The sequence below is a fragment of the Homo sapiens genome, chromosome 3 (genome assembly GCF_000001405.40).
Source record: "Homo sapiens chromosome 3, GRCh38.p14 Primary Assembly".
Classification (NCBI taxonomy): Eukaryota; Metazoa; Chordata; class Mammalia; order Primates; family Hominidae; genus Homo; species Homo sapiens.
Window position 1 is genome coordinate 126,412,572 of NC_000003.12, and position 23,682 is coordinate 126,436,253.

General features: G+C 52.2%; 2 protein-coding genes across 10 annotated transcripts in view, besides 1 other annotated feature; one reads left to right on the plus strand and one right to left on the minus strand.

The window, feature by feature from the left end:
* CFAP100 (cilia and flagella associated protein 100) overlaps positions 1-23,682 on the plus strand; it is a 41,648-nt gene that overhangs the window by 17,663 nt on the left and 303 nt on the right. Inside the window, exons 4-16 of one of the 9 annotated variants that reach the window (NM_182628.3) lie at positions 1,514-1,608; positions 3,745-3,937; positions 5,887-5,954; positions 6,040-6,203; positions 6,505-6,585; positions 7,066-7,247; positions 7,409-7,450; positions 7,532-7,658; positions 10,754-10,805; positions 10,922-11,073; positions 20,498-20,633; positions 21,605-21,810; positions 22,988-23,081. In NM_182628.3, the coding sequence (NP_872434.2) occupies positions 1,514-1,608; positions 3,745-3,937; positions 5,887-5,954; positions 6,040-6,203; positions 6,505-6,585; positions 7,066-7,247; positions 7,409-7,450; positions 7,532-7,658; positions 10,754-10,805; positions 10,922-11,073; positions 20,498-20,633; positions 21,605-21,810; positions 22,988-23,081 (1,592 nt within the window). The other 8 variants (XM_017006322.2, XM_017006323.2, XR_007095676.1 and 5 more) reach the window with 8 other exon arrangements.
* Positions 5,585-6,482: an enhancer, noted in NCBI's record as "H3K27ac-H3K4me1 hESC enhancer chr3:126136999-126137896 (GRCh37/hg19 assembly coordinates)". NCBI's record gives its function as "activates a minimal SCP1, AML or CMV promoter by ChIP-STARR-seq in naive H9 embryonic stem cells {active_cell/tissue: H9 hESC(naive)}" and the evidence as "EXISTENCE:reporter gene assay evidence [ECO:0000049][PMID:30033119]".
* LOC124906280 (uncharacterized) lies at positions 20,225-21,611 on the minus strand. The gene has a single exon (XM_047449418.1). It carries the CDS (start codon positions 21,170-21,172, stop codon positions 20,627-20,629), a length of 546 nt encoding a protein of 181 aa, XP_047305374.1. The 5' UTR covers positions 21,173-21,611; the 3' UTR covers positions 20,225-20,626.

Sequence of the window (23,682 nt, forward strand, 5' to 3'; positions counted from 1 at the left end):
TTCCTTCTTTATTCTGTTAATGGAAGGTATTACATTGATCGGCTTAAAAATATTCAACCAACTCTGCATTTTTGGAATGATTAGCCTCAAATGACTGCCATTTTTGGGGTGGGCTCATCTTCACCTAAACACATCAATCATCTTCACATGAATTCTGACCACTCCCAAGTCACCGGACTGCAGGTGCAGTGTCTGACTTCTTAAGCCAGTCTCCCCATAGCTACTTACAGCTATGGGACCTTGGCAGAGTATCTGACTGCTCTGAGCCTCAGTTCCTCACAGGTAAAATGGGAGTAACCATGATTCCCACCTCCTTGGGTGGTCAGGAACATTAAATCACAGAAAGTCCCCAGTCTGGCCCATGGCAAGTGCTGGATGCTTGCTAGCTATCCATTTGCTTTTGTGATGGGGACATGGGATGGGCCGCCCATGCGTGTTCATCACCAGTTTGGGAGCATAAAGAATTTTACTTCTCTGCCCCTCTGATCAAGCACCAGGTCCCATGATTCCTAATTGAGGGCAAACACCTCTGCCCTGGTTGAGTTGCTAGACAGAAGCAGAAGGGAGAGCGAGTGCAGATTGGGGAGGTGAAGCGGGTGCCTGGCAGTTCCTCCACTAGCTGCTTGTGTCCCAGTGTCTGCCACCCAGAGCCTTGGAGCCTCACACTGCCCTCCATGCCCTTGTCCCCGCAGCTGTGCCAGGCTGCACCTCCTTACCCCATCCCACCTGCCTGCCCTCTCCCAGAACTTCTGTGACACCAGAGTCACCCTCCCTGTCTTCCAGAGCTGTCCTAGAGTTTTAAATTTATTTTCTAACATTTCTGGGGGGTTGGGGTTGGGCTGGTGGGGAAGGCAGCCCATGTGCTTAGTTTACCCTCTCCACCTGACTTCTTGGCTGCTTGAGGCTCACAGGGAGGCTGCTGGCATCAGCTCCGTCTCTGAATTGCAGTCAGTGTGTAGAATTAGGAGTGGGACAAGAGTCCACCCTGCAAAGCAAAGCTTCACAAGCCCCTCTCTGGGCCTCTGGGCCCTCCCCAGGCCTGAAGCACTTTGTTCTTGGCCTTCCCTGGGAGGACTGGAGAGGCCTGAAGAGACAGATGCAAGTTCACCTGGAGGCCCACAGCAAGGGCCATGAGTTCAGTGTCAGCAGACCCTGGTCACCAGGCCCATCACTAACAAACAGCAGGCTCGGCCTCCCTTCTCCATAAGGGAGACTCCAGAGGCCTGCAGTGAGGGCTGGCTGAGGGCAGACGTGTGAGACAAGGCTGTGCTCACGAGCTCTCTTTCAGGGGCCAGGGACAGAAGCCCAACTTGAACCAGGTTAAACTACAGAGGTGCCTTGCTGGAGGTGGAAGGTCCAGGGTTGGACTTTAGGCACAGCTGGATCCAGGGGGAACCTTCCCACTCACTCATGCTTTTCCATGCTGGGCTGGGAAGGCAGTGGGGCCCCAGAGACAGAGACCACCGCCTGGAAGAGCTGGCTCCCCTTTCCAGAGAGGTGTCTCCCTTTCCAGAACATGGTCCTGACCCTTCAGCGAACCCTTTCCACTTATCTGGGGATGTGGATTTCTTCTTGCTCAGAGATCAGGAGCGGAATAAGGCTCTCTCCGTGAGTATCCAGGACAGACGCCAGCACCTCCGGGAGCTTCCCTGCTCCCACTGCTTCCTGGAGTGGCCACATTGCCCTTCTCAGAGGAGCACTTTCCTCAGGTCCTTCTCATTCCAGAATAGTCAATAGCTCACCACTTACTATAAAATCAGCTGGAAACCTTACCTGGCTCTCAGGACTCACAGCATCCCACCCATCTTCCCGTCTGTCACCACTCTTCTTGGGTCTTGGTCAGATAGACTTCTTGGGCTGCTGTGGCAACAGCCTCAGCCACCTCGCCGCCACTTCCACTGCTGCCTGCGTGAAATGCCATCCTCTCCTGACACTCTCCGGGTCCTCCAAGGCCCAGCTCAGCCCTCACAGGCCCTCTCCCATCCCACAGGCACCCCCTGCTGCTCAGGCCTTGTGCCGTCCCTATGGCTGGACCCCTGCAGGTCAGACCCACACACAGCCGCCCACGGCACGCACACACGTGCTCCTCCGGGTGCCTAGGATCCCTGGGCCAGCACCGACCCCACTCTTGCCCCATCTTCACCCCAGCCTGTCCTCTTGCTTTCCCAGCCCTGAGAGCTGTGAGCCCTGAGTGGGGACAGCCCACTCTTGCTGCCTTGGGCACCCAGCCCTGCCCCACGTGCCAGGCATGGCAGCCTTCCCAGGGTCGCACCTGGGCTGCCCCACAGACTCCATCACCTCGCCCTGACTCAGGGCTCAGCGTCTCTGAGATTCCTCACAGCTGTGGTTCCCAAGGCAGCAACAGCTACACTGGCATCTGTAGGGCATGGGTGGAGATGCACAGGCTTCAGCCCTGCCCAGGCCTCCACATCAGAGACCAGGGCTGGGCCTGTGGGCTGTGATTCCTAGACTGGCTGAGACCCAGAGACTCTCTGACCCACGCCTTGGCCACCCTACTGTATCTTCTCCAATGAGGCGTTCGGTTTTCCTCTACACTCAAGCCCAGCCTAGCTCGAGGCCTCCCCCACCTTCCACTAAGAGTCTCACCCAACACACTCTCTCCACCACACCCAACAGGGTCACCAAACGCCATCTTCACCCACCCAACAGGGTCACCGAACCCCAACCTCACCCACCCAACAGGATCACCAAACCATACCCTCCCCCACCCAACAGGGTCCCCCACTCAAACCCTCCCCCACCCAGCAGGGTCTCCCACTCACAACCTCCCCTACCCGGCAGGCTCTCCCACTTATACCCTCCCCCACCCAGCATCCACCACTCACAACCTCCCCCTCCCGACAGGGTCCCCCTCAGTCTGGCCCTGCCCTCAGTCAGCTGCCCAATGTCTTCTAAAGGCCACCTTGTACCCTGAGGATACAGTAGGTGACATTTTCCTGACTGCAGTGATGGGGACGTGCATTCCAGGGGCCTCAGGCTGGACCCATTTGCCTGGGTTCTTAGATGCCGTTTGTGTACCTGGTAGGTCCCAGCAGGAAACGGAAGTGACCCCAGAAAGTCTACGTGAAGAGACTCCCGGGGCCGGTGCAGAAAAGTGGGAGGGGGTGTGGAGCTGGCAGGGGATGTCCCCACTGTGAGAACAGGACAGCAAGAGGGACACGGGGCGGGGTCGGGGTGTGGGGAGGTGAGTCCTGCCTTCCTGCTCCTCCGAAAGTTTTCTCCCAAGGGAGGGCTGGCTCGAAGCCACCCCCAGGCCGCACAGGAGCTGGAGTGGGGTGGAGAGCAGGTGGAGATGGCCACCAACGGTGACCTTCCAGCTAGGCTACACCCACTACACAGTCGTAGTCTTCGGGAACCCCAGAGCCTCTAGGTTCCCTGCCCCTGGGTTGGTCATCAAAATATACGGCTCTCACTTAAATGTGGATTTCGGAGAAAATGAGACATCATCTTTTCGGGTAAGCGTGCCCCCTCTGTGGGTCTGGAGTGCTCATCTGACCGGGCAGCCTGTGTTTGACCTAGGGACCCTGACTGGCGCCCTTCTCGGGGGCAAATGGCCTCCCCAACAGCTGCCCTGCCTGCTTGGCTCTCAGCCCGGGACAGCAGTGTTCAGGTCCCCGCGTCCTCGCGCGCAAACCCGCGTCCCTAGGAATGGGGAACCGCGCGGGGAGGCCTGGACGCGGGTGGGGAGCCTGGGCCCCGCCCGACTTGGCCCGACGCCCCCAGGAACGGCAGCAGCAGAAGACGATGCGGGTGCACCAGAAGATGACCTACTCCTCGAAAGTGTCGGCTAAGCACACCAGCCTGCGGCGGCAGCTGCAGCTGGAGGACAAGCAGGAGGACCTGGAGGCGCGCGCCGAGGCCGAGCATCAGCGCGCCTTCCGCGACTACACGACCTGGAAGCTCACCTTGACCAAAGGTGCGTCCCCTCCGGCGCGGGGGGACCTGGGCCAGTGGCGTCCCACAACCGCAGCTCAGGGGGCGCGCCTGGAACCTCCGTGCCACTCATCTTGCACAGATGGGAAGTGCTTTTCAAGTGCTTCGGAAAGGCCTGCCCTTTCTGTGTTTGGCCTCTCCAGGGGGGTCCCAAAGCTCTATTCCAGGATTGCAAACCTAAGAGCTTTTCAATCCTAATAGAATAGTTCCCCACCTTATCCTTGGTTTCTCTTTCCTTGGCTTCAGTTGCCGGAGCTGAAAGTAGGTGAGTACAATACAGCAAGATATTTTGAGAAAGAGACCCTTTGCCTAACTTTTATTACAGTATATTGTTATAATTGTTCTATTTTTATTAGTCGTTATTGTTTATCTTTTACTGTGCCTAATTCATAAATAAAACAACTTCATCATAGGTAGCTATGTGTGGGAAAAAACTTAGTGTCTATAGGGTAGGGTTCAGGCATCCCCTGGGGGTCTTTGAACACAGGCTCCTGGATAAGGGAGGCTGCTGTATTGCGTGATTCGGAAGGTGGGCAGTGTACAGTGGGCGCAGGCTGCACAGCGTAGAAGTGGGCGGTTCCTAAGAAAGAGCATGGAGCTGGACCTAGGTTTCCTGGCTTCCGTGGCAGCAGCTGCAGCATTTCACAGCTTTGTGGTCATACCCAGGTCACCTGAGCCCTTTGCAGCTCAGTTTCCTTTCCTGGCTGATAACAGTACCAGCCTCATGGATTGTGGGGATTGAATGTGCTAATACATTGGCTGTAGTAAGAACCATGTATGTGTGTGAGCGGTGGAAATCTTAAGTACTGAATATGTATTAATATTCTACCAACCCAGATGATGAAGTATATTACAAAGTTAGAAGCAGTCAGTCAGATCAGAGTCCTGGCGCACAGGGGATTAGAGGTGTACCATGTGACTCTGAAACACACAAGGGCCTCCAGCCTCCACCTGGGGAGTGGCGCCCTGAGCTTGTGGGGGCGTTTAGGCCCCACAGTTGGAGAGGCAGGCAGGGGGAATGGGGGTTAGACGGGGAGACAGCATGGCCTGTTCTTTTTCCTGCCTCCACCCTTATTCCCAAGACCTGGAGGAGAGGCAAGTGACTGGGGAGGCGGGACTATGACTCCCAGAGAGGAGCTGGGTCTCCTGCAGGGGTAGGGACATCTCCGTGGCTACCCAGGGAGGCCCAGCCAGGGCCTCTGCCGGGATCTGGACTCTGGGAACAGAGCTCTTGCACCAGCCAAAGCAGGGCTCTGCTCCTGGAGAGGAAAGGGTGTGAGGGACAGGGCCAGAGAGCCCCATGGTTTCCAGGTCCTTTCCACAGCTCCCAAATCAGAGACAGCCTACAACTTCCACGCCAGGAAGGCCAGGGAAAGGGGCCCCTATGGCCCTTGGCCCCAGACTCGCTGTCCTTCTGCGTGCTCTCCTGAAGGTTGTCCAGACGTCCACCTCGACTTCCTCCTGTCTGGTTTAAACCCTGGCAGTGTAGACTCAGCCTCTGCCCAGTTTGCTCGGGGGGCTTAGGTGCCCCAAGTAGCAATTATGGCTCCCCATTTTTCTGTCCTCATCCCCATTCAGGTCCTGGCTAGAAGGCCTGTGGCTATTAAGTCCAGCTGGGTGAAATTTCCCAGGTGGGGTGTCCAGAGCCTTACTGCAAGTGAGTGCTACAGCAAGAAAGGCGCAAGTCAGACACAGTAAGGACTTCCCACGCGGCCGGACTCTGGCCATGGAGAATGTAACATTTCAGGCAGAGCCTTCTCTCTTTTTGTGGAGACAGAGGACAAGAACACTACCTTCCATGGTCCCGGTAGTCACCTGGGCGTGGACGCAAAGCAGTGGCCAGCAGCCGGTGGAAGGCTCCTCTGCAGACCTGCCAGGCCCCTCCTCAGCCTGGGCTTCCCGCTCCTGCTCACCTCCCTCTTCTTCCAGCAGAAAAGAATGTGGAGCCTGAGAACATGAGTGGCTACATTAAGCAGAAGCGGCAAATGTTCCTCCTCCAGGTAGGTCCCGTGGCCCCCAGAGCGATGGATGCCAGCAGTGGCTGGCCCGGGCCAGGCACCATGACCCCACTCTGCTGGCCCCCAGTATGCCCTGGATGTCAAGCGGAGAGAGATCCAGCGGCTGGAGACGCTGGCGACCAAAGAGGAGGCCAGGCTGGAGCGGGCCGAGAAATCCCTGGAGAAGGACGCCGCCTTGTTCGACGAGTTCGTCAGGGAGAATGACTGCAGCTCCGTGCAGGCCATGAGAGCGTGAGCCTGCGGGCCCGAGGGGCTGGCTGGGCAATGCCGAACCCCCACTGTCCCTGAGCCTGTGCACACCCACTTATCCAGCCTCTGCCCCCAGCCCCTGCAACTCCTCTGGAAGCACCAGGGCCGGTCGGGAGCCAAGGGCAGGGGACACTACGGGCAAAAGGCTTAACTGTGTGGCTCTCCAGCCCTGTCCGGAGCCGGGCCCAGCCCTGGGGCCTGTGGGTGGTGTGCTCACCCCTCTTTAATAGGCTGCCACTGGCCCCTTGCCCCCATCCCTCCTCCCCCGCCGCCCAACCCCTAGGGCTGAGAAGGAGACCAAAGCCAAGATAGAGAAGATCCTTGAGATCCGGGACCTCACCACCCAGATTGTTAATATCAAAAGGTGAGGTCAGAGGGCATGCTGGCCATTGGCTGGCCCACCTCCTGGTCCCTCAGTCATTTTGCCTGGCCAAGGGAAGCCTAGCACCATGTGAACCTCATGGCTTTACCTCCCAGGGACTCTGCTTCCATGAGGCTGTTGCCCATTTATAGACGAGGGGAGTGAGACCAAGAGAGATTCAGTGACTCTCAAGGCTTCCACTTGGAGGTTGGCAGCTTGGCTCAAAGGCTTGCCCAGCTACAGCCTGAGAGAGGTGCGGTCTCCAGGGTGGAGAGGAACTTGCAAGTCACAAAGGGCTGTGACTCTGCTTGTTGCAGGGTGGGTGCCTGTCTTCCAGCATGTGGCATTCCTGCACCTTTTCTCAAGGAAAACAAGGAGCCCACACAGACTTGGCCAGGATGGAGGGGTGGCCCCGGCATGGGGACCTCGCTGTGGCAGAGGCTGACCTCCTCCTTCCCACATCCTCACCCCGCCCCGGTGTAGTGAGATCTCCAGATTTGAAGACACTCTGAAGCATTACAAGGTCTATAAGGATTTCCTATACAAGCTGTCGCCCAAGGAGTGGCTTGAAGAACAGGAAAAGAAACACTCGTTTCTCAAAAAGGCCAAGGAGGTCTCCGAGGCTTCCAAAGAGAGCAGTGTTAACTCCACACCAGGGGACAAAGGTAGCAGAAAAGAGAATGTGGGTTCCCAGGTGGGCTCTGCCAGTGGCCCACTGCGACCCTGAGCCCAGCTGGCAGGTTACCTGCAGGCATCTGGGCCACATGGCGTTGCTGAAGCTTGGCTGCAGCTGAGGCCATCGGGGCCCCCCCTTTGCTTCCTGCAGGACCAGGGATCAAGGGCAAGGCGAGCTCCATGTGGGCCAAAGGTGAGCTGCCGCCCCCAGCCTGAGGAGGAGCCTGGCTCTGCCCTGCACAGGGCTCGGAAACTATTCCTCTGCTTTCTCCAGAGGGTCAGGGTACAAAGAAGCCCTGGAGGTTTCTGCAGACGATGCGGCTGGGGCGGAGCCCGTCTTACCTGAGCAGCCCCCAGCAAGGCAGCCAGCCCAGCGAGTCCAGCGGTGGCGACTCCAGAGGGTGAGTGGGCTCGGGTGGTTGGGAGGGGCTGAGGCCTAGCGGCGAGCCCTCCCTTGTGGCACCCATGTGTAGTCAGGTCTGAGTGCCACAGAAAAGAAAGTGTGTTACTCACAGTCCCTACTCCAAGAAGGGCCAGACAGGGACGTCCCAGGCCGGCCAGGAGGCAGAGGGAGTAGGACCTGTGGGCAGGAGTTTCCATTGTGGTTCCCATGGGAATTAAGGTTGAGGCGGGTGAGCAGGTGTAAGGCTGATTTGTTTTTGAATAATTTCGGGCTCTTGGACAAAGGCCTGCCCCTGGTTGTCTGGTCCTGGCCCTGGGGGGATAGGTACTGAGTGTGAAAGTCTGATAGATGATCTGGCTGGGGTGTGGACAGTGGATTGGGTGGTTTGCATTTGAAAGGTGAGCTGAGGGCAAGCTCAGAGCCCAGGGTGAGTCATTTCCTGTCTCCATGGATTGATGGACCCTGAGAGAGGTGGTCCCTCCAGGCTCGGCAAGGCCACAGGTGTCAAAAGCATCAAAGCACAGAACATCAGTCACGGTCACTACGTGGGTGAGGTGGTCTCATATGGTTATCAGGACATTTTCCTGATGACAAATCTGAATACATTTCATACATATCATTTTTTTGTGAAGTGTCTGATTTCTGTACATTTTTGTTGGATTATTGGCCTGGTTCTTATGGTTACCTATTGGTTCTCTATGTATTCTGGGGACCAGCCCGGTGTGGTGTGGTACACGTATCTTCTTCCAGTTTGCATCTTGCCTTATTTCTATTTATTTATTTATTTTGAGATGGAGTTTTGCTCTTCTTGCTCAGGCTGGAGTGCAGTGGTGTGATCTCAGCTCACCGCAACCTCCGCCTCCCAGGTTCAAGCGATTCTCTTGTCTCAGCCTCCCGAGTAGCTGGGATTACAGGCATGTGCCACCACACCCGGCTAATTTTTTGTATTTTTAGTAGAGACGGGGTTTTGCCATGTTGGGCAGGCTGGTCTCAAACTCCTGACCTCAGGTGATCCGCCCGCCTCAGCCTCCCAAAGTGCTGGGATTACAGGCATGAGCCACTACACCTGGCCACCTTATTTCTGTTCACTATTGTCTTTTGAAGAACAGGAATTCTTAATTTTAGTGAAGCCAAATTTACCAATCTTTAATTTTATAATTGGTGAATTTGGGGCCCTGCTTAAGAAATATTTGCCAACATCACAGTCACTAAAATATTCTCCTGTGTTTTCTTCTGGAAGCTGATGCTTTTTATCGGCTTGGATAAGGGTGGCAGAAGCAGGGATGGAGAGAAGTGGGCACTGTAGGGCTCAGGGCTGCTCCCTACATCCCTGCCCGGGCCCTGTGTCTGTGGCAACCCACTCTCCTCCACGGGGCCTTTATCTGCTGCTCAGCCCTTCTGCTCTCCACCCTCTGTCTTCCCCTCTCCACGACTGCCTATTCCTGAACTCCACACCCAGATGGGTAGCCCCAACATCAGCCTCCCATGGCCCAAACTGATGCTTCTCCAGTTGGAAGAGGACCCAAGCTGGCTTTCCTTTCTGCCCAGTGTGGCCACGCCTTGTGGTGAAGACCAGCCACCACTGGGGCATGCTGCTGCGCCACGCACAGGCTGCTGTTAACGTTGCCCACCATGACGCCCTGCTGGTGGGGGGACATTTCCAGTTCTGCGTTGAGGAGCAGAGGTTCTAATGTATGCAGTGCAGCCTGCTCCGCCTAGGGCTCCCTCAGCCATGGACTGCCCCCTACCAGACAGGCCCTCACTTGGGAGACTTGAGAACAGAGTCGGGGATCACACTGTCCTGGGTTTCAATCCTGGCCCCTCCATCTATTTGCCAGGTGACCAGGGCCACTGAGTATAGCTGGGCAGGTTGTGAGCTATATAAGGCACTCACTCAGCCAAGAGGGAACATGGGGGCTGAAGTCCAGCCCATGCCCACCAACCGCCAGGTCAGGCTCCCTGACCCAGGCTACATCCATCTGGAGGGTGGATTATCAGAAAGGCATCGTATGGGCCAGCAGCGCCCTGCAGGCAGCCGGCTCTCTCATCTGTAAAATGGGCATCGGTGTGCAGTGTGAGGCGTGGGTCTGGCGAGTGCTGTAGTTGTTATCACAGCCTCTCCTGGGAAGCCCTCCTGGATCTGCTGTCAGAGTCCCACAGGACCTTGCCCTGATGCCTCTCTGCTTCTGGGGATCAGGGGCTGGCATCTCCAAGCCCAAGCTTAGGTCCCTGAGGTGCCTGGGGCAAGCCAGCGCAGCCCCCCCCACCTCAGTCAGCAGGACCTGCAGATCCTAGGTGAGGCCCAGGGTGGAGCAGGCTGGGAGGGCAGGTTTGGAAGTCAGTGCAGGTGAGGTCCCCATCGAGTGGGGCCTTCTGGGGCCCACACTGAGTGCTTAAAGCTCACACAGCTTGTTCCCAGCCCCTCTCCACTGGTCCAGGACAGACCTTGCCCCTGGGCACTCAGGATCACCTGGAGGCAGCCCTGAGAGTCCCTCTATTGCTGTGAGTGGGACCCCCAGGACAGGGGCCAAGACTGACCCTAGATGGGGGAGGCAGGGCAGGAAAGGCCTCAAAGGTGGCACTCAGTAAACAAGGGTGAGGGAGGAGGGGCAGCCCCAGCAGCGGAGCCGCAGGTGCAGAGGCCTGGGGTAGGGCAGCACCTAGAGAGATGGGACCTGGCCAGGCAGGGCAGAGGGGCTGGGGAAGGGGAGGCAAGGTGAGTGCTGGGAGGGCTGCCTGGCATGACCCAAGAGGAGAGCAGGTTTTATTCTAAGTGCAGTGGAGCTGGGATGGGTGAGGGCCATCTGGCCACCCAGGACTGGGGCCTCTGGCGACAGGTCTGGAACATGGTTTGTCCAGCATGTCAAAGTGGCTACGGCCTTGGGAAAATGAGTGGATTGAAACTATCCCCTGGCTGCAGTGTGGCAGCTGGGGACTGTGAGGAAGCTGGTGCTGCCCTCTGGGTAACTTGTGGGCAGCTGGGAGAGGAGGGATGGGGATGCTGCCAACGCCTTCAAGACCTCTGTGCCCCCTCCCCTGGCTCCTGTCTGCTCAGGCTGGTCCCAGAGTCCCGACCCTGCCATCTCTTCGCAGGTCGAACTCTCCCATCCCCCCCACGCAGGAGGACACCGACAGCGATGGGGAGGTGAATGGCCCAGTGCTGGGCTGGAATTCGGAAGTCGCCCCTCTCTTTCCCTGCCCCCACCCCTGCCCCTCTGGCTCTGTCCCTGTCCAGTCCCTGCCAAAACCTGTGGGTTGCAGGAACCACAGCTGTACTTCACGGAGCCCCAGCAGCTCCTGGATGTCTTCCGAGAGCTGGAGGAGCAGAACCTGTCGCTGATCCAGAACAGCCAGGAGACGGAGAAGACCCTGGAGGAGCTGAGCCACACCCTGAAACACACCCAGATCCGCATGTAGGTGCTATGCGGTGGCCAGTGGGGGCTCCCTGCCGCTCTCATCCTGGGATCCCCCTAGCACTGGGAGCCAAGTTGGGGAAACAGCCCACACCCGTCCGTGGCCCTGGCCTGGTCCAGGTTGTCTGAAAAGCTCCGAGCGAAGCTCCGTTTGTGGGCCGGATCCTGGAGAGAGGGTGGTGGAGCTGGGGGTGGGCAGGGCCCAGGCACCCGTGCCCACCCTGAAGCAGCCCATGGCTAGAGCCAGGCCTCTCCAAGGACCTTCTGCCCTAGGCGCCTTCTGCTGCTGCCAAGCTCCTGGGAGGCCCTTGGAGTGGCTGGAGGTCCACAGCGACCCTGACCCCCCAGTTCATAGCAGCACTAACATGCTTCACACAGGCACCGAAAGCAGTCATTTGCTCAGAAGGGCCTGGAAGCTGCTGCTGCTTCATATTTCGTAGACCACTGAGCGGGTGTTCGCGGCACAGAACTGGGGAAGGCCAAGCCACCTGTGGGCTGCTGTGAAGTGTGTCCCCTGCTGTTGTTCAGCAGCATAACGGGGACGGGAGTGGGTGCAGCCCTGAGCACGAGGACATGGGCATGGCGAGTTGTGCCATCCTGCAGGCTGGGGCTAGGTGGGGCTGAGACGGGCAGGGATGGGTGAGGGCCATCTGGCCACCCAGGACTGGGGCCTCTGGGGACAGGCCTAAAACACAGCTTGTCCAGCATGGCAAAGTGGCTAGGGCCTTGGGAAAATCCTGCCCTCCCAGTTCCAGCCAGAGAGGCAGCAGGAGAAGTCAGGTGGCTGCCCAGCTCTCACCTGGAGCCCAATTGAGGCTATTATGGTCCCTCCTGCTGGGTGTGGCCACTCAGTCCCCTGCAGGGTACCTGCCTCCAGGAGAACTGGGCAGGGCAGGGTCAGCCTGAGGCACTGGTGAGGCATGTCCAGAGCAGGGAATCCTCTGCTCACTCCCCACACACTGCCTGTGCATCCGTTCTGGGTCAGGCCTGGGTCTAAGCTCTGCAAGGATAAAGCAAGGCCCTGCCCTCATGCAGCTGACCTTAATGGCAGCAGATACAACAAACAGATCCACAGATGTGACTTGTGCATACTGATGTGTTCTAGGAGGAAAATAAAGCAATTTGAGAAAGAGGGCTAAAATGGAGGGTGACAGCAGATGGGAGGGGTAGAGAAGGCTTCCAGGAGGTGTCAGGAAACTTCCTGAGGAGTGGGAGGAAAGCCATCCACACAGGCTGGGCGAAGAGGGTCCCAGGCAGCGGGAACAGCAGGTGCAAAGGCACTGAGGTGGGAGCCCACTGAGGCTTAAGTGTCCCATGGGGGAACCATGCTCCTGAGCACCCATGTCCCGTTGGTGCAGTATGGCAAAGAGTCCCCATAATGACCTGAAATCCCCAGCCTCAGGCAAGACTATGTGCCCTGGAAAGCTGGGAGGTGACAGACACAGAGGAAGATGAGCTGGGGAGAGGTGGACAGGCTCCAGCTTTCCAGATAATTGGGCAAGAAGACAGGTTCCTCCTCCAACACATGCATGCAAACGTAAACCTCATAGCAGAATGCTGGATGTGACATCCCAAAGCTGGTCTTCAGCCAGCCAAGCCATCCCTGAGAGCACCCATACTTTGTTTCCAGGGGAGTCACAGCCCATGTGTATTTAACTTCCATGAACTCAGCCATCTTTTCTCAGAAAAAAAATCAAAATATAGTCTTAAAAATATATAAAACAAATAGACAATCATAATAGGCCTATTCCATTAAACAAATTAAATAAATAATAGCCTTCCAAAAGGGAAAGCCCCAGGCTCAGATGGGTTTGCTGGTGAATTCTACAAAGGAAGAATTTCATCTAAGGAAGAAATTATACCAATTCTCTACAATCACTTTTCAGAAGATAGGAGCAGAGGGAGTACTTCCTAACCCATTCTATGAAGCCAGTATGACCCTAATACCAAAACTAGACAAAGGCATTACAAGAAAGGAAAAGTAGACACCAATATCCTCAACATAGATGCAAAAATCCTCAACAAAATATTAGCAAATTGAATCCAACAGTATAGGAAAAGAAGTATATACCACAACCAAATGGGATTTATCCTAGGTATGCAGGGCTGGTTCAACATTCAAAACTTAACATAATCTGTCATATCCACATGTTAAATAAGAAAAGTCACATGATATGATCATAAGAAATAGCACTGAACACAATCCAACATCCACTCATAATAAAAGCTTTCAGAAAATGTGGAATAGAAGGGAATTTCCTCAATTTTGATAAAGAACACAAAAATCCTACAGCTAACATCTTACCTAATGAAACAAAAAAAACAACAACTAGAAGCTTTCTCATGAGATCAGAAATAAGGCAAAGAGGTCTTCTCTCACTACTACTTTTCAATATTGTATTGGAAGTCTTAGCTAATGTAATAAGACAAGAAAAATAAAATGTATATAGATTGGAAGAAATAAAACTGTCCTTGTTCACAGATGACATGAATGTCTATGTAGAAAATTCAAAACAATCAACAAAAAGCTCCTGATGGCCAAGTGCAGTGGCTCATGCCTGTAATTTCAGCACTTTGGCAGGCCAAGGCAGGAAGATCACTTGAGGCCAAGAGATCGAGACCAGCCTGGGCAACATAGTGAGACCATATTGCTAGAAAAAATAAAAAACTTAGCTAGGCATGGTGGCACACATCTGAAGTCCTAGCTACTTGGCAGGCTGAGGTGCAAGGATCACTTGAGCCCAGGAGTGCAGTGAGCCATGATCATGCCACTATACTCCACCCTGGGTGACACAGTGAGACCCTGTCTTAAAAAAAAAAAAAAAGGCTGGGTGCAATGGCTCATGCCTGTAATCCCAGCACTTTGGGAGGCTGAGGCAGGCAGACCATGAGGTCAGGAGATCAAGACCATCTTGGCCAACATGGTAAAACCCCGTCTCTACTAAAATACAAAAAATTAGCTGGGCGTGGTGGTGCGTGCCTGTAATCCCAGCTACTTGGGAGGCTGAGGCAGGGGAATCACTTGAACTTGGGAGGCGGAGGTTGCAGTGAGCTGAGATCGCACCACTGCACTCCAGCCTGGTGACAGAGGAAGACTCCGTCTCAATAAATAAATAAATAATAAAAATTAAAAAGCTCTTGGAACTAATAAGCTGTTATAGCAAGAAGCAAGGTTGCAGGATACAAGATTAACATACAAAAGTCAATGGCTTTCTCATATACCAGTAATGTGCAAGTGGACTTCAAAATTAAACACACAATACCATTTACATTAGCACCCTCTGAAATGAAGTACTTAGGTATAAATCTAACAAAACATGCAAGATCTATATGAGGAAAGCTGTAAAACTCTGATGAAATCAAAGGAAAATAAATAGAGAGATATTCCATGTTCAGGGATAGGAAGGCTCAGTATTGTCAAGATGTCATTCTTCCCACTTGATCTATAACTTCAATGCAATCCCAATGAAAATCCAAGAAGTTACTTTGTAGTTACTGACAAACTGATTCTGGAGTTTATATGAAGAGTCAAAATACCCAGAATAGCCAACACAGCACTGAAGATGAACAAGAAAACTGGGTGACTGACACTAGCCAACCTCAAGACTTAATAAAACTACAGTAATGAAGATGGTGTTTGGTACCGGTGAAAGAATAGTGAAATAGATAATTGGAATAGAATAGAGAGCCTAGCAATTGACCCACATAAGTACCGTACACTCTGAGGTAATAAATGCATGTTATGTGTAACCTGTTGTGGAGCAATGGATAACCAAAGTAGCTGGTTCTAGAACTTCAAGATAATAATAATATAGTAGGTTTTCACTGGTGTCTGGTCTCTTTCCCTCAGTGCCGTGTCTGTATGGCTCATCCATGTGCAGATTTTTTTGTGTGTGGACGTAGGTTTTCAACTCATTTGGGTAAATACTAGAAAGCACAATTTCTAGATCATATAGTACAAGTATGTTTAGTTTTGTAAGAAATTGACAAACTGTCTTCCAAGGTGTCTGTACCACTTTCCATTCCCACTAGCAATGAATGAGACTTCCTCTTGCTCCAAATCCTTGCCAGCATTAGGTGTTGTTAGTGTTTTGGATCTGGCCATTCCAATAGATGTGTAGTGGTATTTTGTTTTAATTTGTGACTCCTGGGCATATGATGATGTACAGGAAGCATGATGCTGGCAGCTGCTCAGGTTCTGGAGAGGCCTCAGGGAACTTACAGTCATAGCAGAAGGTGAAGGCACATCTTACATGGCTGGAGCAGCAGCAAGAGAATGGGAGTGGGGAGGTGCCACACACTTTTAAACAACCAGATCTCATGAGAAGTCACTCCTATCAGGAGAACAGTACCAAAGGGATGGTGCTACACCATTCATGAGAAACTGCCCCCATGATCCAATCACCTCCTACCAGGCCCCACCTCCAACACTGGGGATTACAATTGAACATGAGATTTGGGCAGGGACACAGATCCAAACAATATTAATCATTAAACTGTGGTACCTCCAGAAAATGGAATATTTTTCAGTGCTAAAAGGAAATGAGCTATCAGGTCATGACAAGACATGGAAGAACCTTAAATGCATATTACTAAGTGAAAGAACTCAGCCTGGAAAGGCTATACCCTGTATGATTCCAACTCTATGATATTCTGGAGAAGGCATAACTGTAGGGAAACTAAAAGAATCAGTGGTTACCAGGGACTTAGAGGGAGAGAGGGATAAAGAGAGAGAAAGCACACAGCATTTGCAGGGCAATGAAAATACTGTGTATGATGCTATAATGATGGATACATATCATTATATAATACATTTGTCCAAACCCATAGAATACACAGTACCAAGAGGGAACCTGCATGTAAAGTCTGGACTGTGGGTGATAATGTGTCCAGGAAGGTTCACTGATTGTATCAAATGTGCTACTCTGGAGGGGGATGTTGATAGTGGGAGAGGCTGTGCATGTGTTAGGGTGAGGTGTGTTTGATCGTTTTAATGCACTGTTGAATTCTGTTTGATAGTTTTGGGATGATTTTTGCATCTACGTTCATAGGGGATATTGGCCTAAGTTTTCTTTTCTGGTGGTGTCTGTCTTTGCTATCGAGGTGATACTGGCTTCATAGAATGAGCTTGGAAATGTTCCCTCCTCTTCCGTTTCTGGAAGAGTTTAAAAAGGATTGCTGGCTGGGTGTGGTGGCTCACGCCTGTAATCCCAGCACTTTGGGAGGCCGAGGTAGGTGGATCATCTGAGGTCAGGAGTTCGAGACCAGCCTGGCCAACATAGTGAAACCCTGTCTTTACTAAAAACACAAAAAAATGAGCCAGGTGTGGTTGTGCATGCCTGTAGTTCCAGCTACTTGGGAGGCTGAAGCAGGAGAATTGCTTGAATCCAGGAGGTGGAGGCTGCAGTGAGCCAAGATTGTGCCACAGCACTCCAGCCTGGGTGATAGAGTGCGTCTCCATCCAAAAAAAAAAAAAAAAAAAAAAAAAAAGAAAGGATTACTGTTAATTCTTTAAATGTTTGGTAGAAGTCACCCATGACACCATGAGGTCCTGTGCTTTTATTTGTTAGGAGCGTTTTGATTACTATGTCAATCTCCCTATTTGTTATTGATCTGTTAAGACTATTTCTTCTTGATTCAGTCTTGGTAGGTTGTATGTTTCTAGGAAGTTATCCATTGTTTTTTCTGGATTGTCTAATAGCTCCTTATGTTTCTTTTTCTGTTTGTGCATCAATTGTAATGTCTCTTTAATTTCTGATTTTATGTTAATCTTCTTTTCTCTGCCTCTTGTGACAGTTTTTGACTTAAAGTCTATTTTGTCTATATTACTGCTGCCATTTTGTTCATTTTTTCTGTCTGTTTCACAGCTCTCTTGTTCTTCCTCTTCTGCTTTCTTTTGGGTTTGATGTTTTTGTTTTTGTTTTTCAGTGATCTGCTTTGATTCTTTTCTCTTTATCTTCTTTTGTATCTACTGTAGGTTTTTTTTTTTGTACTTACCATGAAACTTACATTGAGCATCTTATAATAGTCTATTTCAAGCTGATAACAAATTTACTTCAATTGCATACAGAAACCTCTGAATGTAACCATTTTTTGTGATGTTACATTTACCAGTGAGATTTATACTTTTGTATGCTTTCGTGTTGGTATTTAGTAACTTTTTGTTTCAACTTGTAGAACTCTCTTTAGCACTTCTCTAAGGCAAGTATCCTGGGTGACCACCTCCTTCAGGTTTTGTTTGGGAAAGTCTTTATCTCCTCTTCATTTTTAAAGGATAGTTTTCCTGCGTATAGTATTCTTTTTAGCCATTTTTTTCTTTCAGTACTTTAAATATATCAACCCGTTTTCTCCTGATCTGCAAGATTTCTGGTGAGAAATATACTGATCGTCTTAGAGCAGTTGTTGTACATGATAAGTCACTTTTCTCTTGCTATCAAAATCTTTTTATCTTTGACTCTAGATAATTTCATTATAATATGTCCCAAAGTAGATCTCTTAGCTTCTACTTATTTGGGAATCTTTAGACTTCATGAATCTGGATATCTATTTTCCTCTCCAGACATGGGAAAATTTCAGCCATTATTTCTTTAAGTTCTCTTGATTATTAGGTACAAATATAAAGTTGGATAGAAGAAATAAGATTTAGTGTTTGATACATTAGTGGCATGACTGTAGTCTAAAGTAATCTACTGTATACTTTAAAACAGCTAGAAGAGAATAATTTGAATGTTTCTAGTATAAAGACAAATATTTAAAGTGATGGACATCCCAATTACACTGATTTGATCTTATAAATTATATGAATATATTACCACAGGTACTCCAAAAATATGTACATTATGTATCAATAAAAATAAAAATAAAAAATACTTTGCCCTTTCTCTCTCTCCTTTTCCTTGAACTCTTATAATGCATATACTGTTTCAGTTGATGATGTCTGTAAGTCCCATAAGCTTTTTTCTCTTTTTCATTTTTTTGCCCTTTTGCTCCTCTAGCTGGCTAATTTCATGTGACCTATCTCTGAGTTCACTGATTCTTTCTTCTGCTTGATCTAGTCTGCTGTTACAGCTCTCTTGAAATTTTTGGTTCAGTCATTGCATTCTTAGCTCAATAATTTCTGGGTTTTTTTTTATGGTTTCTATTTCTTTGTTGACCTTATATTGTTTTCCTGATTTTGTTTAGTTGCCTATCTGTGTTGTCTTACAGTTCACTGGGAGTCTATAAGACAATTATTTTGAATTCTTTTTCAGGCAGATTGTAGATCTTTATTTCTTTAGGGTCAATAACTGGAGGCTTATCAGGTTCCTTTTGTGGTGTCATGTTTCCCTGATTTTTCATGATCCTTGTGGCCTTGCATTGCTATCTGCACATTTGAAGAAGGACTTGCTTCTTTCAGTCTTTAGGGACTGGCTTCAGCAAGGAAAGCCAAAGGAGAAAGCCAGAGAGCTCAGCCAGAGATTCTCCATGTGTTGGCTGGTGGGGTCTGTGGGCAGGGCCTACTGCCAGGGTCCAAGGTGGGTGGGGCCTGCTGTGGTGGGTCTACAGACAGGTGAGGTCTGCACAGGGCCTACAGACAGGTGAGGTCTGCACACTGGGTGCTATCAGCCCCTGTGCCTTTTATTTGTTCCTAGCTGCCCTCGAGGTGATCCATCCATGACAGTTACACCAGGGCTAAGGCAGAGATGAGAGAGAAATGGGCCTCTTGGGAAATACCCCAAAATGAATGGAAACCTGGGGGTTCCACCTTGCTTTCTCCTTCCCCCAACAGGAGAAACTGCAGGCCAATGAGATCTCTTTCAGCACTGCCATGGCTTGGGGGAGAGGTGACATAGGCAGAATGAAACTATTCTCTCACTCTCTATGGCTTTTCTCTGTTTTTATGCACCACTGGGTGCTATAACCTCTCCCTTGAATTCTGGAGCTCTGACAAAGACATTTTCATCCATGGATGGTTGTCAAATTAGTGTTTCTGTGGAAGGACAAGAGCTGAGGACCCCCTATTCCACCATCTTGCTGATGCTATTCCTCTGGTTGTATCGTTAAATTCTTCTATCTATAAAATCTTCTATCAATAAAATCAATCTATAGGTTTCCTTTGTTTTCCCCCTTGCCATCCATTTGTTGAAGAAACCAGATCACTTTCCCTATACTGAAGTGCTTCTCAGACTTTATGTGCACTTGAATCCCCCAGGGATCTTAAAATGAAGTTTCTGATTCAATAGGCATGGGTCAAGGCCTAAGACTCTGCATTTCTGACACACTTGCAGGTGATGCCCAGGATGTCTGAGGACCAACTCTGAGCAGCATGTCCCTTGTGCATCTGTTTCTTATTTCACTTGAAAGGTGAATGTTGAGGCCGGGCGCAGTGGCTCACACCTGTAATCCCAGCATTTTGGGAGGCTGAGGCAGGAGGATCACAAGGTCAGGAGATCGAGACCATCCTGGCTAACACAGTGAAACCCCGTCTCTACTGAAAATACAAAAATTAGCCGGGCGTGGTGGCGGGTGCCTGTAGTTCCAGCTACTCAGGAGGCTGAGGCAGGAGAATGGTGTGAACCCGGGAGGCGGAGCTTGCAGTGAGCCGAGATTGTGACACTGCACTCCACCCAGCCTGGGCGACTGAGCAAGACTCCGTCTCAAAAAAAAAAAAAAAAAAAAAAGGAAAAAAGAAAGGTGAATGTTGAAATTCTGCTCCTAGATATATATTCGTGAGAATTGAAAACATGTCCTCACAAAAACCTGCACATGAATGTTCATAGCAGCAATATTCCCAAGAGCCAAAAGGTGGAAACAACCCAAATGCCCATCAATGGATGAATGGATCAACAAAGTGTGGCCTACGTATGCAATGGAAGATTACTCAGCTATAAAAAGAAATGAAGTGCTGACACATGCTGCAACATGGAGGGACCTTGAAAATATGCTGGGTGAAAGCAGCGAGTCACAAAAGAAAACATGTTGTGTGACTCCATTTTTATGAAGTGTTCAGGGTAGACACAAAGTAGATTCATGGTGGCTTAAGACCAAAGGATAGAGGGGACAATGAGGAGTGACTGTTAATGGGCACAGGGTGATGAAAATGTTCTAAAATTAGATTATGGTCATGGTTGTGTAAACTCCTTGAATATATAAAAAATTACTGACTTGTATATTTTATGATGGTTATGCTAATTTTATTGTCTGTGAATTATGCCTCAATGAAGCTGTTTATTTTCTTTAATGTTGATTGTTAAATATTTTACATTTTCCCCTACATTCTACCAGCATTTCTGACCCCCTGGGCATGCAGAGACTTGGCACCCATGATCCTTCAGCCCTCAGGACAGCTGGTAGGGGCAAAGCACTGTACAGACAGGCTCAGAGAAGCGATGTGCCCAGGGCTGTGCTGAGTGACTGATGCCCTGCCGGTTTTCCCCTCTTCCAGGGACAGGGAGGTCAACCAGCTGAAGCAGTGGGTCACCACAATGATGATGTCCATCACCAAGGAGGAGGACACAGCAGCTGAGCTGGAGCTCAAAGCCCGAGTCTTCCACTTCGGCGAGTACAAGGGCGATCAGCAGGTAGGCTGGGGATCAAGGTGGCCAGAGGCCCAGGGTAAGGAGGGACCCTTGGGCACCCACTGGAGGAGCCCTGACAGCCCTTGGGAAGATGGAGGACAAGGCCCGGGTGAGTGCCCTGCAGCTGCCCTTGCCCTGCCTCCCTCCAGGAGCCACCACATGTATTGATGCCTGTGCCAGCCAGCTTGGTTGCCCCCACGCCTCATCCATTGCTTCATTCTTTTATTCAACAAATGTGTCTGCTTCTTAAACACATATATTGTGTCTGGCAAGGTGATCCTGAAGGGGGGGAAGAGGCGTGTCCTCAAGCCAGGCTGAGAGGGTGAGAGAATTGGGAGAGAAGAGAAAGCCAGTGGTGTTCTGAGCAGCAGAAGCCAGGACCCAGACAAAGGCTCAGCCCGCTCCCAACCTGACAGCCTGGGGCCACCCCGGGCATGGGATGGCTTCCTACTGTCAAGTGCCTGCTGTGTGCCAGGCACAGGGCCAAGGGTGTGGGATGCAGCCATGAGCAAGACAGCGCTCCCGATACAGCCAGAATCCATGGGCACTGGCTGTGCCCAGGCTGGGCTGAGCTGCCTGCCTGCTGCTCCTCTCTCCTCATATAGCCCACATGGAGGGGCTGTTATCTGTTTTCTAAGTGTCAGAACAGTCTCAGAGAAGACATAGCCCTGTGGGGTGCCCAGGGTGCAGGGTTCCCTGGAGGAGGGGACTGGGCCCCGTTGGCTCACCAGAGGCAGCTGGGAGAGGGGCTGGAACCAGGGATCTGGCTGACTCCAGGGGGCCCGGGGGATAGGCTGCTCTGGCCAAGAAAAGCCAGTTCCCCAAGTTCTGTTTTAGCCCATGTTCTCAGAGCTCCCACTGTGTGCCAAGCGGTGGCCCCCACCCTGGGAGGTCAGCAGGCCACCGCTGAAGGCACTGGCATGGGGGTGGGTTTCCGCCTGCCAGCACCCTGCTGGAAGCCACCTCCTCCACAGGATAAGCTGCTAGAGAGCCTGAACTGCAAGGTGCTGGATGTGTACCGGCACTGCACCGGCACCCAGCAGGAGGCCAACCTGGGCACCGTGCAGATGCTGACCATCATTGAGCACCAGCTGGATGAGCTGCTAGAGAACCTGGAGCACGTGCCCCAGGTCAAGATCGAGCAGGCCGAGAGGGCAAAGGAGAAGGAGCGGCGCATCAGGTGAGCTCTAGGCTCTCCCTGCCAGCTGCTGTGTCCTGGCTGGCCCTGAGGGCAGAGGGCACATACAGGCCCCACCCTCAAAGCACTCCCAGGAGACAGGCCCCTCCTGCTCTGTGCTATGAGAGACAAAAGCCCATGTCTTGGGGGGATCTAGAGGGGCATCACAGTCAAGTGGGGGGTGGTTAGGGAAAGCTTCCTAGAGCAAACGACAGTGACTCGATGTGGCCAGGAGGCTCAGGGAGGGACAGGGTCTAGAAGATAGAAGAGCTGGAGCTTAGTTAGAGTGTGGCTAGCACGGTCAGCCTCAAATACATGGAACAGCAGTGGAGGGCTTTAAGCAGTGGGGCAAACACGGCCAGGTAGGGTGTGGTTAGATTCTTCCCTCTGGGGCTGGACTGGAGGGGCTGGAGGCTGAGGGCAAGGGCAGCTGCCAGCACCCAGGAGAGAAGGCATGGCTACAGCAGTGTTGCTGGAGCGGAAGACAAAGTGCAGAGGCTCAGAGAGCCTTGGGAGTTTCAGCTCAGAGGGGAGTGGAGGGGGGCAGATGGGCAGCAGCTTGCTATCTGTCGGGACACCAGCCTGAACCCAAGGTAGATGGGGGTTGTGGCTTCCCTGGCCTGTGGGCAGCCCGGTTCATCCACCCCGTGCAGGGCTCTGAGACAGCGCAATCTGCAAACATCCATCCGTCCCCCCAAGCACAGGGGCTTCTCCTCTGGGTCCCTGGTACCCTGCTCAGAGTGGGCACTAGACCAGGCTTTGATGACTGAGAGTATATATAGGAAGGAGACAGGACTCTCGCCCCAGGGGGATGCTGGCCTTCATGGTGGCAAGGGAGGCCACAGGTGCACAGATCAGGCCATGGGTGTAGATTCAGAGAAATGTGCCTCTGGGAGGGGTCTGCTGGATGAACCTTAGATTCAGCCCTTGCAGGAGGCCAGAGCCAGGGCCTCGGAGCAGCAGGGCCCTGGTTGTCCTCCTCTGGGCCTAGGCCACCTTGGCCAAAAGCAGCGGTGCTTTGGCTGTGGATAGGTATTGAGAACTTGACCTGGCAAAAGAGGTGAAGAGGAGCTGGGAGTTTTCTTGAGGGAGGACACGGCCTGGCCTGGGGACTCCGTGTGGAGATTACACAACACCTTCCAGGTCCCCCCAGTTTTCAATGTCATTTCTTGCCACCCAGACTTCGAGAAGAGAAGCTCCAGATGCAAAAGATCCTACAGGAGGAGCATCTGCAGCGGGCCCGGGCGCGCGCCCAGGCTGAGATCAAGAAGAAGGTAGGCAGGGTCGCCTTGGGGGGTCTCTGCTGGAGGGGGTCCCAAGACAGCATGGCAGCTGAGGTCCTGCAGCCCAAGCCCCTGATGCTACCACTCTGAAGGCATTCAATGAGGCTCTGAGGGAGACAGGCTGCCTTCGGAGCAAGGCCTCTCCCAGGACCTGCTTCCTGCAGGGGGCTCTTCCCCAGGCTGCCAGCCCATGGCCCATGCCAGGCTGAGCCTGGTTCAGCCATGCCCACCCACCCCAGCCAGGTACACTCTGCTCAGGAGCAGGGTCCCACCACCCTACCCACACTCCGGCCAGACCCCAAGCCCTGCTCACTGCCCGTCACTGGGGTCCCCCTACTGCTGTGTCCCAAGGCCCCCACCCTTCCTGCCTTCTGACCCTGGCAACAGGAAGCAGGTCCCTCTGCCCCCACATCTAATAGGTGGTGCTCCAGAGACCAGGCTTGATAAATGCCAGGCAGACTCACACCCCCAGTTATTTCAGAGTTAACTCCAGCCCTCAGCCTGCAGGGCTGACCAGAGTGGCCTGGAGGTGACTGGAGCTGCTGGGCCTCTCCCTGCACCAGGGGCAGGGGTATATGGGCATACGGCTCAC